The sequence below is a fragment of the Homo sapiens genome, chromosome 16 (assembly GCF_000001405.40).
Source record: "Homo sapiens chromosome 16, GRCh38.p14 Primary Assembly".
Lineage (NCBI taxonomy): Eukaryota > Metazoa > Chordata > Mammalia > Primates > Hominidae > Homo > Homo sapiens.
The window spans coordinates 15,691,583-15,704,714 of record NC_000016.10 but is presented as its reverse complement, the minus strand read 5'-3'; the positions used below and the strand labels follow the sequence as shown (position 1 = coordinate 15,704,714).

Below are 13,132 nucleotides of genomic sequence, written 5' to 3'. Positions count from 1 at the left end.
GAACATTCACACCAGCAGGGGGTGCTGTCTCGCCTTTTAACCAGGGAGCCCCTCTGTGTCCTTCTCAAGGCTGCCCTTGTCCATTTCACCTTCTTCCAATTCAAATCTTGAAAACTCACCTCTAAGGCGAATGGGGGTGAGGAGATACAGAAGAAAAACAGTATGTTCTCTCTTCAACTCTGCCCCATGGGCTATGAATAAAGTCAGAAGACAAAATCCCCTGCTTGGTTTTTGGCGTTTTTTTCCTATTCTAAATCAAAGACCACAGCAGACCAGAATCCTGTGGCTTCTCAAATGACCAAGCCTGACATATTGAAAAGCAGATCGTCTTGCTTTGAAAAACCTTCTCCACCCACCCCCGCAACCAATTTCAGCTGATTAAATTCAATCACTCATGCCTTAAGACTGGCAATGATTTGTTGACTTCAACTTGAATATCTGCATCTTATTTGTGCCGTGTGTGTTTTCTGCCATAAAAAAAATTTATATTGCAATAGGACTATAGCTACAAGTTTAAAATAGATTTATAAAAAATCTATCCCAACCATGAAGATTTCTTTGCTAAATAATGTGTTTTCTTACAACCCACAGGCGAGGAAACGAGACCTCTTTCGTTCCTTCTAGAAGGTCTGGAGGACGTAGAGTTATTGAAAATGCAGATGGTTCTGAGGAGGAAACGGACACTCGAGACGCAGACTTCAATGGAACCAAGGCCAGTGAATAAGCAACTTTCTACAGTTTTGCACCACGGCAAGAAAACCAAAAACCAAAACAAACAAACAAAAAAAACCCAACAACAACCCAGAACAAAGCAAAACCCAGCAGACTGTACTTAGCATTGTCTAAATCCATTCTCAAATTCCAAATATCACAGACACCCCTCACACAAGGAATATAAAAACCACCACCCTCCAGCCTGGGCAACGTAGTAAAACCTCATCTATACAAGAATTTAAAAATAAGCTGGGCGTGGTGGTACACACCTGTGGTCCCAGCTACTAGGGAGGCTGAGCCAGGAAGAACGCTCCAGCCCAGGACTTCGAGGCTGCAATGAGCTATAATTGCATCATTGCACTCCAGCCTGGGCAACAGAGACCCTGTCTCAACCACCACCACCACCACCACCCCTACTACCCCTGTATTCAAGGTAAAAATTGAAGTTTGTATGATGTAAGAGATGAGAAAAACCCAACAGGAAACACAGACACATCCTCCAGTTCTATCAATGGATTGTGCAGACACTGAGTTTTTAGAAAAACATATCCACGGTAACCGGTCCCTGGCAATTCTGTTTACATGAAATGGGGAGAAAGTCACCGAAATGGGTGCCGCCGGCCCCCACTCCCAATTCATTCCCTAACCTGCAAACCTTTCCAACTTCTCACGTCAGGCCTTTGAGAATTCTTTCCCCCTCTCCTGGTTTCCACACCTCAGACACGCACAGTTCACCAAGTGCCTTCTGTAGTCACATGAATTGAAAAGGAGACGCTGCTCCCACGGAGGGGAGCAGGAATGCTGCACTGTTTACACCCTGACTGTGCTTAAAAACACTTTCACTAATAAATGGTTATAAATCACAATGTCGTTGGCTTTTCTGTTGAGCTGTTTTCTATAGAGGAAAAGGAGTTGGGGAAGGCTGGGTTTTGCTTCATCGTCCCAAAGATTCTCTGAAGTCAGGGTTAACGTCATGAATGCAGAAACTGAGGCCTAGAGAGGTGAAATCAATTGCCTACAACCCCACAGCCAGCCAGAGAGCAGAGCAGAGATGCAAAGTGAGACTGTCTAAGGGGGTTACTGGGCCGCTCAGCAGGGAGGGCAGGGGAGAGAAATAAGGTGATGTGTGGTCTAAGGGCCACTGCCCCCTGCCCTCGAACATGACTGGGAAGAACATCTTGACTCATCAAAACCAGTATCTTAAGAAAAATACAGGATTTCCTTGATTTTTTGAGTTAAAACACAAGGTCTTGTCCAATGAGTCAGCAAACACTTTCCACAAAACGTCAGATGGTGGCTGGGTACAGTGGCTCACACCTGGAATCCCAGCACTTTGGGAGGCTGAGATGGGAAAATCACTTGAGGCCAGGAGTTGGAGGCCAGCCTAGCCGAGAGAGACCCCCGTCTCTATAAAAAAAAGGTGTTTTTTTGTTGTTGTTGTTAGTAAGCCAGGCAGGATAGTGCACACCTGTACTCCCAACCTCTTGGAAGGCTAAGGCAGGAGGATCATGTGAGCCAGGAGTTCCAGGCTGCAGTGAGCTATGATCACGCCACTGCACTGCAGCCTAGGTAACAGTAACACCTTGTCTCTCACACCACCACCACCACCCACCCAGCCAGATAGTATTTTAGCCTTTACAGGCTACATATGGTCTTGCCGAATATTCATCTTCTTTAAAACAACCCTTAAAAACATAATAAATCATTCTTAGAGTAAGGGCCATAAAAACAAGCTGTAGGCCCTGTCCTTCTTTCAGCTTGAGTGTTTTAGACAGACATGCCTGCAAAGGCTCTGTTCAACACAAACGATGCCGTATACCACCAACTCCATGGGATCAGACAGATTTGGGAGACAGGAAACATGGAAACAAAGGACTCCATCTTGTGACCAGATGCTAATATGCCTTGAATGACGCACAAACACATCCCGGATACATTTCTAAAAACCTGGCTTGAATAGAAATTTTCAAAAAGATTTTTTCATATTTTTTAACTTGGTTAAAAAAAGTTTTTCACCACTCTGTGGGAAAACATTAAAGTATAAACATACAAAGCCTCTTTGACCAGAAGCCCAACAAGTTCAACATTCGTTTCTCTTGATTTTATTGATCTTTTAAAAAAATAAAAGGACATCTTCTGTGGATACAGGTTAGGATGTTTCTAGGGTAAGAAACCCACCATCGCAGCGTAATTCTCTGCGGAATTTCAGTAGCACTTGGAAAGTTCTGTTTTCAACCTGAAATTTTTGCTGTTCTTCCAGAAAATAACTTAGTAACAAAATGAAGGCCGTGAAGCTGCAGGCACACTCCAGAAATTAGTGTGTTCTTTTAACTCGTGTCCCAAAGAGACAGCAGTTCCTAACATGCAGTGATGAGTGGACACACCATGGTGCGTTGGAAATCCCACGTTCACGTCTTTGACAAGGAAGCCTCCTACAATGATCTTGTGCTTTAATTTTACTTGATGGTCACCCTGGTTACTTCATTATGCCTTTGAATGAAGTCCTGTTCTTAGTGGCTGCATTACCAAGGCCATCTTGCCCCAAAGACCCCTCAGGGTCCTGAGGCAGAATTCCCCCCACCCCACCAGGGGACTCAGGAAAATGAATGATCGCAGTTTGCCAAAAGAGGTCAGATTTCCCACTGACGCTGGTTGGTCTGGAAAATTACTCTGAAAACTCGAACGCACCTCTAGGAATCTCAATGAGAAGCTAAGAAGCAGGCTACAGTCTCAGAGGTTTATGACACCTTTTTTTTTTTTTTTGGAGACGGAGTCTCACTCTGTTGCCCAGGCTGGAGTACAGTAGCGCAATCTTGGCTCACTGCACCCTCCACCTCCCGGGTCCAAGCAACTCTCCTGCCTCAACATCTGGAGTAGCTGGAATTATAGGCACGCACCACTGCACCCAGCTAATTTTTTGTATTTTTAGTAGAGATGGGGTTTCACCATGTTGGCCAGGCTGGTCTTGAACTCCTGACCTCAGGTAATCCACCCGCCTCGGCCTTCCAAAGTCTTAGGATTACCGGCCTGAGCCACCGCGCCCAGCCTATTCCAGTTTTTAAAAAGGCATGTGACTGTTAAGTTCTCTGTTCTTAGACATGATTTCAGTACACCACAAAGCACTGGGAGATTTTGTTCTGGAAGACGATTCCACCTGGTTGGGAGTTGGGGGGAAGAGCCTCTGAGAGAAGCTCCATCCCACATTTACGGAGACTTGGGACATTAAAAACACCTGTCAAGACCAATCAGGGGCCAGGCACGGTGGCTCAGGCCTGTAATTCCAGCACTCTGGGAGGCTGAGGCGGGAGGATCACTTGAGGCCGGGAGTTCAAGACCAGCATGGCCAACATGGTGAAACCCCGTTTCTCACTAAAAATACAAAATTAGTGGGTGTAGTGGCACACTCCTGTAGTCCCAGCTACTTGGGAAGCTGAGATAAGAGAATCGCTTGAACCTAGGAGGCGGAGGCTGCGGTGAGCCGAAATTGCACCACTACACTCCAGCCTGGACAAGACAGGGCAAGAGCATGACTCTGTCTCAAAAAAGAAAAAAAAAAAAAAGACCAATCAGGACCTCCGCTTGGGTTAGTGCAACACAATGGGGCATGGGAACGATGGCTCATGCTTGAAATCCCAGCATTCTGGGAGGCCGAGATGGGAGGATCACTTGAGGCCAGGAGTTCAAGACCACACTGGGCAACATGGCAAAACCCCGTCTCTATTAAAAATACAAAAAATTCAGCCAGGTGTGGTGGTGGGTGCCTGTAATCCCAGCTACCTGGAAGACTCAGGAACAAGAACCGTTTGAACCCAGGAGGCGGAGGTTGCAGTGAGCTGAGATCACGCCACCACACTCCAGCCTGGGTGACAGAGCAAGACTCTATCTCAAAAACAACACGGTAGCCTCATCACCGACAACTTAGAGCCCTTCCCAGAGAGCCCCTTTTGTCCCTCTTTGCAATGCACACGGTGGCAGGTAAGGATGAAAAGACATTTCCCAGGGACAAACCCCAGAGCACAGGTGATGGCCTCGGTCATTGGCTTGGGCCGCAAAGCTAACTAACTATGGTGACTGCTCTTATTTCTCAAACTAACTTAAAACAAAAACCTAGTGTAAAAAGACGACAAAAGGTAACGACTTCCGCACCAACACCAAGACCTTCAGCTTCCGTGGTTTTCCTAAAGCAACATCTTGACTACCCCCTGGGCTGACGGCAGCGGCGATGAAGACATGTGTGAAGGCGGCTTCCCAAATTCCAGGCGCTTCCCCAACCTTCAGACAGAGCAAACCAAATTAAGCTGACATAACAGCTGTGACAAACTGGCTAGCACCGGGGCCCAGAGAGTTATAAGGGTGAACATCAAGAGTCAGGAGCAGGGTCTCACAGGGTCTCAATTTTCTCTCCTGTGAAATGAAGAAGAGGACACTGGCTACCTGGCTCTCAGATTCCAAGGTCACACAAAACGCCCAGTCTCAGACCCACTAGAAAAATCCATCTCTTACCTATTGTTTGTTTGTTTTACAGCCTACGCAACATAGTGAGACCCTGTCTCTATGAAAAATGCAAACAAAAATTAGCTGGGTGTGGTGGCCTGCATGTGTAGTCCCAGCTACTTGGTAGGCTGAGGTGGAAGGATCGCTGGAGCCCAGGAGGCGGAGGTTGCAGTGAGCCGAGATCACACCACCGCAGTCTAGCCTGGGTGACAGAGTGAGACCCTGTCTCCAAAAAAAAAAAAAGGCCAGGCATGATTGCTAACGCTTGTAACCCCCAGCACTTGGGAGGTCAAGGTGGGAAGATCGCCTGGAAAATTAATCTGAAAACTCACCTCTAGAAATCTCAATGAGAAGCAGACTACAGTCTCAGAGGTGTATTCTCAAACTCAAAGCCAGGAGGTTTGAGACCAGTCTGGGCAACATAGCAAGACTGTTTCTATAAAATATAAAAAAAATTAGCCAGGGGTGGTGGTGTGCACCTGTAGCCCCAGCTACTTGGGAGGCTGAGGCAGGAAGATGGCTTGAGCCCAGGAGGACGAGGCTGCAGTGAGCTATGGTCGCACCACTGCACTCCAGCCTGGGTGACACAGCAAAACCCTGTCTCGTAGAAAGAAAACAAACAAAAATTAATTTTTTTTTTTTTCTTGAGAAAGAGTCTCACTCTGTTGCCCAGAGTGGAGTTCAGTGGTGCAATCTTGGCTCACTGCAACCTCCACTTCCTGGGTTCAAGTGATTCTTGTGCCTCAGCCACCCAAGCAGCTGGGACTACAGGCATCCGCGACCATGCCCGGCTAATTTTCGTATTTTTAGTATAGATAGGGTTTCACCATGTTGCCCAGTTTGGTCTTGTGAACTCCTGGCCTCAAGTGATCCACCCACTTCTGCCTCCCAAAGTGCTGGGATTACAGGTGTGAGCCACTTCACTGCACCTGGCCTAAAAATCCACGTGTAAAGGTCTCAAAGTTATGTGCATGCCATGGAAAATATTCTTAATTTCCTGTCACGTGTCTGCTACAAACCCATCAAATTCCTACGGCTTGGGGCCCAGAGAGATGGTAGTCACACACCTTGCAGAATTCCTGAATCTGAAAGCTGCCCCTTTTTTTTCTGAGACAAGGTCTCGCTTCATCACCCAGGCTGGAGTGCAGTGGCTGGGAACACGGCTCACTGCGGCCTCAACCTCCAGAGCTCAATTGATCCGCTGCCCTCAGCCTCCCAAAGTGCTGGGATTACAAGTGTGAGCCACTGAGCCTGGCCCTGATTTTCTTTAGGCAAGAAAATTAATGACACTGTTAGAGATCAGATCTGCACTGTCCCATCGGGTGGCTGGTTTCAGGAACATAGTCTGGGCTAGAAGTTAGTGCCAGTTTCTCAAAGGTTCTACAGATTTAAAAAGAAAAAAAAGGGCTGGTTGCAGTGGCTCACGCCTGTAATCCCAGCACTTTGAGAGGCCGAGGTGGGTGGATCACAATGTCACGAGATCAAGACCATCCTAACACAGTGAAACCCCGTCTCGACTAAAAATACAAAAAATTAGCTGGGCATGGTGGCACACGCCTGTAATCCCAGCTACTCAGGAGGCTGAGGCAGGAGAATTGCTTGGACTTGGGAGGCAGAGGTTGCAGTGAGCTGAGATCATGCCACTACACTCCAGCCTAGGCGACAGAGCAAGACGTCTCAAAAAAAAAACAAAACAAAACAAAAAAAAAAACTTCAGGGGAAGCAGAGCCATGACTGATGCTCAATTCCCCAAATAAGGGCTTTATTTTTATTTAACTAATTAATTAACTTTTTGATATGGAGTCTTGCTCTGTCACCCAGGCTGCTGTGCAGAGGCACAATTTTGGCTCACTGCAATCTCTGCCTCCAGGGTTCAAGTGATTCTCCTTCCTCAGCCTCCTGAGTAGCTGGGACTATAGGCACATGCTACCATGCCTGGCTCATTTTTCTATTTTTTTTGGTGGAGATGGGGTTTTACCAATGTTGCCCAGACTGGTTTTGAACTCCTGACCTCAAGTGATCCACCTGCCTTGGCCTCCCAGACTGCTGGGATTACAGGCGAGCGTCACCACACCTGGCCCAAATAAGGGCTTTTATACAGGACATTCTCACAGTGTAACCGTGAGTAGCAGCTGTAGAATCAAATGATAAAAATGACCTTCTTGGCCAGGCATGGTAGCCCACACCTGTCGTCGCAGCACTTTGGGAGGATGAAGGGTGAGGATCACTTGAAGCTCAGAGTTTGAGACCAAACTCGGCAACATGGCAAAACCTGTCTCTAGAAAAAATACAAAAAATTAGCCGAGCACGGTGACACGCACCTGTACTCCCAGCTACTCGGGGGACTGAGGTGGGAGGATCGTTTGAGCTGGGAGGCAGAGGGTGAGCCATGATCCTGCCATCGTATTCTAGCCTAGGTGACAGAGTGAGACCCTGTCTCACAAAACAAGACCCTCTCTCTAGCCCTTTGTTCAAGCCACAAGACACCACCTAATGCTGCCTGCAGGGAGCAGAGGAGAGGATAAGGTTTGCTGAAATAATCCTATAATTTAAAAAGACACATGGCTGTGGGCTGGGGGTGAGTGTCTCTTGCCTGGGGCAGGCGGGTTCTCCCCGCCAGCGAGAGGTTTATTAGAAGGTACTGACCCCTTATCACCCAAAGGCACGCTGGTGCTGCTTGGCCGTCTCTCCCCGCCATCTCTGTTCTTGCTGCTCCGCCCAGAGGCTGGGCCACCTGTTCGGTTTGGGGACTGATCGTACACGAGGTTCCGGCAGGAAGCGAGTTTGGACTCCAGTGCCTGGACAGAAATACACTTTTATCTCTCAAGTTATAGGCAAGGACTATTCTGTCTTACCAGAGCCTGTACAGAAGAACGAACCCCAGACAGTGGTTCTCAAACTGTTGTGCACTGGAATTCCAAGGTGGGACCCCAAGAGGAATCCAACGTATATGCCAGTCTCAGAACCAAGCACCTTAAGTATTTGGGAGCTGGCTGGGCACAATGGCTCACACCTATAATCCCAGCACTCTGGGAGGCCAAGGCAGGAGGATGGCTTGACATCAGGAGTTTGAGACCAGCCTGGGCCACAAAGTAAGATCCCATCTCAGTTTTTTTTTTTGTTTTGTTTTTTACTTTTTTAGACGCTGTGTCACCCAGGCTGGAGTGCACTGGTGAGATCACAGCTCACTGCAGCCTCAACCTCCCAGGCTCAACCAATCCCTCCCACCTCAGCCTCCTGAGCAGCTGGAATTATAGGCATCCGCAATCATGCCCAGTTAATAAAAAAAATTTTTAATGCAAAAAATTTTTTTTAATTACGAAAAATTTTTTAAAATGTTTGGGAGCTGCCTGGAAAAAGATCACGGCTCACTGCAGCCTCAACCAATCCTTCCACCTCAGCCTCCTGAATAGCTAGGACTATGCACAATCATGCTTGGCTTAAAAAAAAAAAAAAAATTCTTTTTTAATTACAAAAAATTTTTTAAAATGGGAGCTTTCTGGAAAAATCACTAACCTACCAATTATCCAACTCCGCTTGTAGGAAGTAGGAAATCCACTTCTGGAATCCTTCACCCTTTGGTTTACCTTGTTAAACCTCTGCAGAATGGCAAGAAGTTTGGTAAGGACTTGGTCTGGCTACAACAGACCCTGAGGAAACCAAAAGGACACTGACAGCACCCCAGGCTTCTCTATACTCCAACTAGGCTAAATACTGAAATGCAGACCTGCTTCTAGAATAGCAAACCAGACAGCCAAAAACCAGAAGTAAAAACAAAAGAAATGAGTTGCAAGCTTCTATTAAGTTGTAGCTACAAATACACTGTGTACAGTGACAACTTGGTAGGAGTTAAATTATGTGGCCTTCTAGGCATCATTTTTAAAAATAAACTACAAAGAATACCTATGTTTTTACTTAAGCACAAAAGGATCCCTCCCTGTAATTAACATAAAAGCTGAAAGGCCAAATTCTTTGCCCTAGGCTTTCAAGATTTTTTTTTTTTTTTTTTTTGAGACCAAGTCTCACTTTGTCACCCAGCGGTGCGATCTCAGCTCACTGCAACCTCCGCCTCCCGGATTCAAACAATTTTCCTGCATAAGCCTCTCAAGTAGCTGGGATCGCAGGTGCCCACCACCATTCCTGGCTAATTTTTGTATTTTTAGTAGAGATGGGGTTTCACCATGTTGGCCAGGCTGGTCTTGAATTCCTGACTTCAGGTGATCCACCCATCTCGGTCTCCCAAAGTGTCAAAATTCACTTAAACCCCAAGAAACAAACCAAAAAAAAAAAAAAAAAAAAAAAAGGTGGCAGTTTTTTTCTCTTCTGAGACAACGTCGTGCTGTCACCCAGGATGGAGTGCAGTGTTGGAATCTCAGCTCACTCAGCCTCAACCTCCCAGGCTGAAGCAATCCTCCCACCTCTCAGCCTCCTGAGTAGCTGGGACCACCAGTGTACACCATCAGGCCTGGCTAATTTTTGCATTCTTGTAGAGGCCAAGTCGGGGCAGGGGGTTTCACCATGTTGCCCGGGCTGGTGTCAGACTCCTGAGCTCAAGTAATCTCCCACCTTGGCCTCCCAAAGCACTGGGATTACAGGTATGAGCACCCGGCCAAAAGAGAAGGCAGTTTCCAAGTGCTCCTTAATTTTTCGAGTTAAGGAAAAAACACACATATCACCCTAATTTCCCAAATTTCCTAGAGGAAAAACGGTAAAAGGAAAGAGACATACATAGGGTTCAGAGCAGGGCTTCGAGTCAGAGCTCTGAGTGTCTGGCAGTAACTCCCACAGGAAGCTCTAATGATTCCCAGGGATGCTAAAGGAGCAGCCACACCTAAAACTCACCACACTGCTATGAAAGGGGCTGGACGCATTGGCTCATGCCTGTAATCCCAGAACTTTGGGAGGCCAACCTGGGAGGATCACTTGAGGCCAGGAGTTTAAGACCAGCCTGGGCAACACAGCGATACCCACATTACTACAAAAAAATGAAAGTATCAGCCAGGCATAGTGGCGCACACCTGTGGTCCAAGCTCCTCGGGAAGCTAAGGTGAGAGGATCGCTTGAACCCAGGATTTTGAGGCTGCAGTGAGTTGTGATCATACCACTACACTCCAGCCTGAGCAACAGAGCAAGACCCTGTCTCTAAAAAAAAAGAAAAAAAGAAGAGAGGGAAGGAACTAGATCAACCCCCTTCACACATCCTGAAAGACAGGCAGGAAGGCACCAAACGCCAGGAAAGTGTGGTCTTACCCCGACTTTCCGCAGTAGGTCTCCCACAATGTTGAGGGCTGATATCCGGGCCGCAGGTGTGAGGGGGGTCCCCCCGGTGGAGTCGTCCAGGCCTGGGTGTGCAAAGGGAAGAGCATGTAACTCACCAACCTATAGTCATGTCTGTGCGTTAACATCGCTAGATCCAAAACCACGGGACAGGAGGGACACTGACGCCTTTCCTCGGATCCCAAAAGCTACCCTATTTCTTTCCGTAGTTAACCGCATCACACACCCAAGGCCCGTATGACAACCAATTTTTCAAGTCCTTGTGATGACTGCAACAAATACTTATTTTTACATGTTAGTCTTGCTCTGTCACCCGGACTGGAGTGCGGTGATGTGATCTCAGCTCACTGCAACCTCCGCCTCCCAGGTTCAAGCGATTCTCCTGCCTTGGCCTCTTGAGTAGCTGGGATTATAGCCATGTGCCACCACACCCGGCTAATTTTTGTATTTTTAGTAGAGACAGAGTTCCATCACGTTGTCCAGGCTGGTCTCGAACTCTTGACCTCAAATGATCTGCCCGCCTTGGCCTCCAAAAGTGCTGGGATTACGGGCGTGAGCCACCATGCCTGGCCTTTAACAAATTTTTTTTTTAATAGAGACAGGGTCTCACTATGTTGCCCAGGCTGATCATGAACTCCTAGTTTCAAGCGATCCTCCCACCTTGGCCGCCCAAAGGGCTGGTATTTACAGGCATGAGCCACCGTGCCCAGCCACATTAGTCTTTTTAAACAAACCCAAAACAAATCCTTTTGAAATTGTAGAAAATCCATATAGTTAATTAACATAATGGCATCTGTGATAGATACAAGAACTATAGACAGGATGATCCAGCTTTACAAGGGTCCCGCTCTGCAGAGCCTCTCTTCTCCAAGTGGGGTCCATGCACCAGCAGCACATGAGAACTGTTAGAAATGCAGAATCTCTCGGCCAGGCACAGTAGCTCACACCTGTAATCCCAGTGCTTTCAGAGGCCGAGGCAGTTCGATCAGTTGAGGTCAGGAGTTCAAGACCAGCCTGGCCAACATGGCAAAATCTTGTTTCTACTAAAAATACAAAATTAGCTGGGCATGGTAACAGGTGCCTGCCTGTAATCCCAGCTACTCGGGAGGCTGAGGCATGAGAATCGCTTGAATCCAGGAGGCAGAGGCTGCAGTGAGCCAAGATCAATGCCGCTGCACTCCAGCCTGGCCGACAGAGCAAGACTTTGTCTCAAAAAAAAAAAAAAAGAGAGAAAGAAATTTCAGGCCCCACCCAAGACCCACTTGATCTGAGGTACATTCTACCAAGATCCCCAGGTAAGCTACATGCATATTGAAGTGTGGAAACATAGCCAGGCATGGAGTTGCATGCCTCTAGTCCCAGCTACTCAGGAGGCTGAGGCAGGAGGATCACTGGAGCCCAGGAGTTGGAGGCTGCAGTGAGCTATGATTGCACCACTGCACTCCAGCCTGGGCCACAGACCAAGACTGTGTCTCTAAAAACAACAATGAAATAAAGTATGCAAAATGGCTCTAGACTGGGGCTAGGCACAGTGACTCATACATGTAATACCACCACTTTCAGGGGCTGAGGCAGGCAGATCACCTGAGGTCAGTAGTTTGAGACCAGCCCGGCCAACATGGTGAAACCCCATCTCTACTAAAAATACAAGATTAGCCAGGCATGGTGGTGGGCACCTGTAATTCAAGCTTACTCAGGAGGCTGAGGCAGGAGAATCACTTGAACCTGGGAGGAGGGGGTTACAGCGAGCCAATATCGCACCATTGCACTCCAGCCTGGGCAACAGAGCAAAACTCCATCTCAACAAAACTAAACAGAAGGGCTCTGCACCGGAATTCTAGAAGTCTCACTGGTCTCTTCATGCCCAGGGGACAAGCTAAGGGATAAGGTAGTAGATGGTAGGGTAAGCCCTGGAGCCTGCCTGCCTGGGTCTGAATCCCAAACCATCTGCCATTCAATTGCTTCATGACTCTGCTTAACTCAGAGCCTCACTTTCATCAAACGGGGACAGCACCTGCATCCTGGGCCTGCGGCGAAGGCTGCAGGCTGGCCAGCACACACTGAGCACTCCTTAACTGTCTGTTATTAATATCTGCTGTAAAAGGCCTGATCGGAAGCTGTCAGCAGAGGGGCTGGGGTGAGAACTGAGATTCTTTTTTTCTGCCCATGCAGCACACGTTACGCTGAGTCTAGCTCTCGGTGGATGTATTACTAAACCCACAGAACGCTTTTTACTTTTTTGTATTTGGTCAGTGACATTTCAAATTTGGGAGGTTTTATATTCAACAAGAGGATTTTTGACCAGGCGCGGTGGCTCACACCTGTAATCCCAGCACTTTGGGATCAGCCGAGGTGGGCGGATCACTTGAGTCCAGGAATTTGATACCAGCCTGGGCGACATGGCAAGACTGTGTCTCCACCTAAAATACAAAAGTTAGCCAGGTGCCTTTAGTCCCAGCTACTCCGGAGGATGAGGTGGGAGAATCACTTGAGCCCACGATGAAGAGGTTGCAGTGAGCCAAGATCACGTCACTACACTCCAGCCTGGGCAACAGAGTGAGATCCTGTCTCAAAAAAAAAAACCCAACAAAAAAAAAGAGGATTTCTGGCTTTGAAGAATGGAAAAAGCTGCAGATGAAGGGCCAAT

At 47.6% G+C, this 13,132-nt stretch overlaps 2 protein-coding genes across 27 annotated transcripts in view; one reads left to right on the top strand and one right to left on the bottom strand.

Annotated features, from left to right (window-relative positions):
* The window catches only part of MYH11 (myosin heavy chain 11), a 153,894-nt gene extending 152,314 nt beyond the window's left edge, over nucleotides 1–1,580 (top strand). For all 4 annotated transcript variants that reach the window (NM_002474.3, NM_022844.3, NM_001040114.2 and 1 more), the window contains one exon: nucleotides 592–1,580. In NM_002474.3, the coding sequence (NP_002465.1) occupies nucleotides 592–724 (133 nt within the window). In that variant the 3' untranslated portion in view covers nucleotides 725–1,580. The remainder of the gene's footprint in view (nucleotides 1–591) is intronic.
* Nucleotides 1–13,132, bottom strand: part of NDE1 (nudE neurodevelopment protein 1) — an 82,972-nt gene that overhangs the window by 21,639 nt on the left and 48,201 nt on the right. For 4 of the 23 annotated variants that reach the window (XM_006720897.5, XM_047434262.1, XM_005255396.6 and 1 more), the window contains exons 7-8: nucleotides 10,459–10,550; nucleotides 7,596–8,006 (exon numbers count right to left, since the gene is read on the bottom strand). In XM_006720897.5, the coding sequence (XP_006720960.1) occupies nucleotides 7,758–8,006; nucleotides 10,459–10,550 (341 nt within the window). In that variant the 3' untranslated portion in view covers nucleotides 7,596–7,757. Of the gene's footprint in view, nucleotides 1–2,800; nucleotides 5,119–7,589; nucleotides 8,007–8,728; nucleotides 8,808–10,458; nucleotides 10,551–12,548; nucleotides 12,906–13,132 lie in introns of those variants that run through there. The other 19 variants (XM_047434259.1, XM_017023349.3, XM_047434263.1 and 16 more) reach the window with 12 other exon arrangements.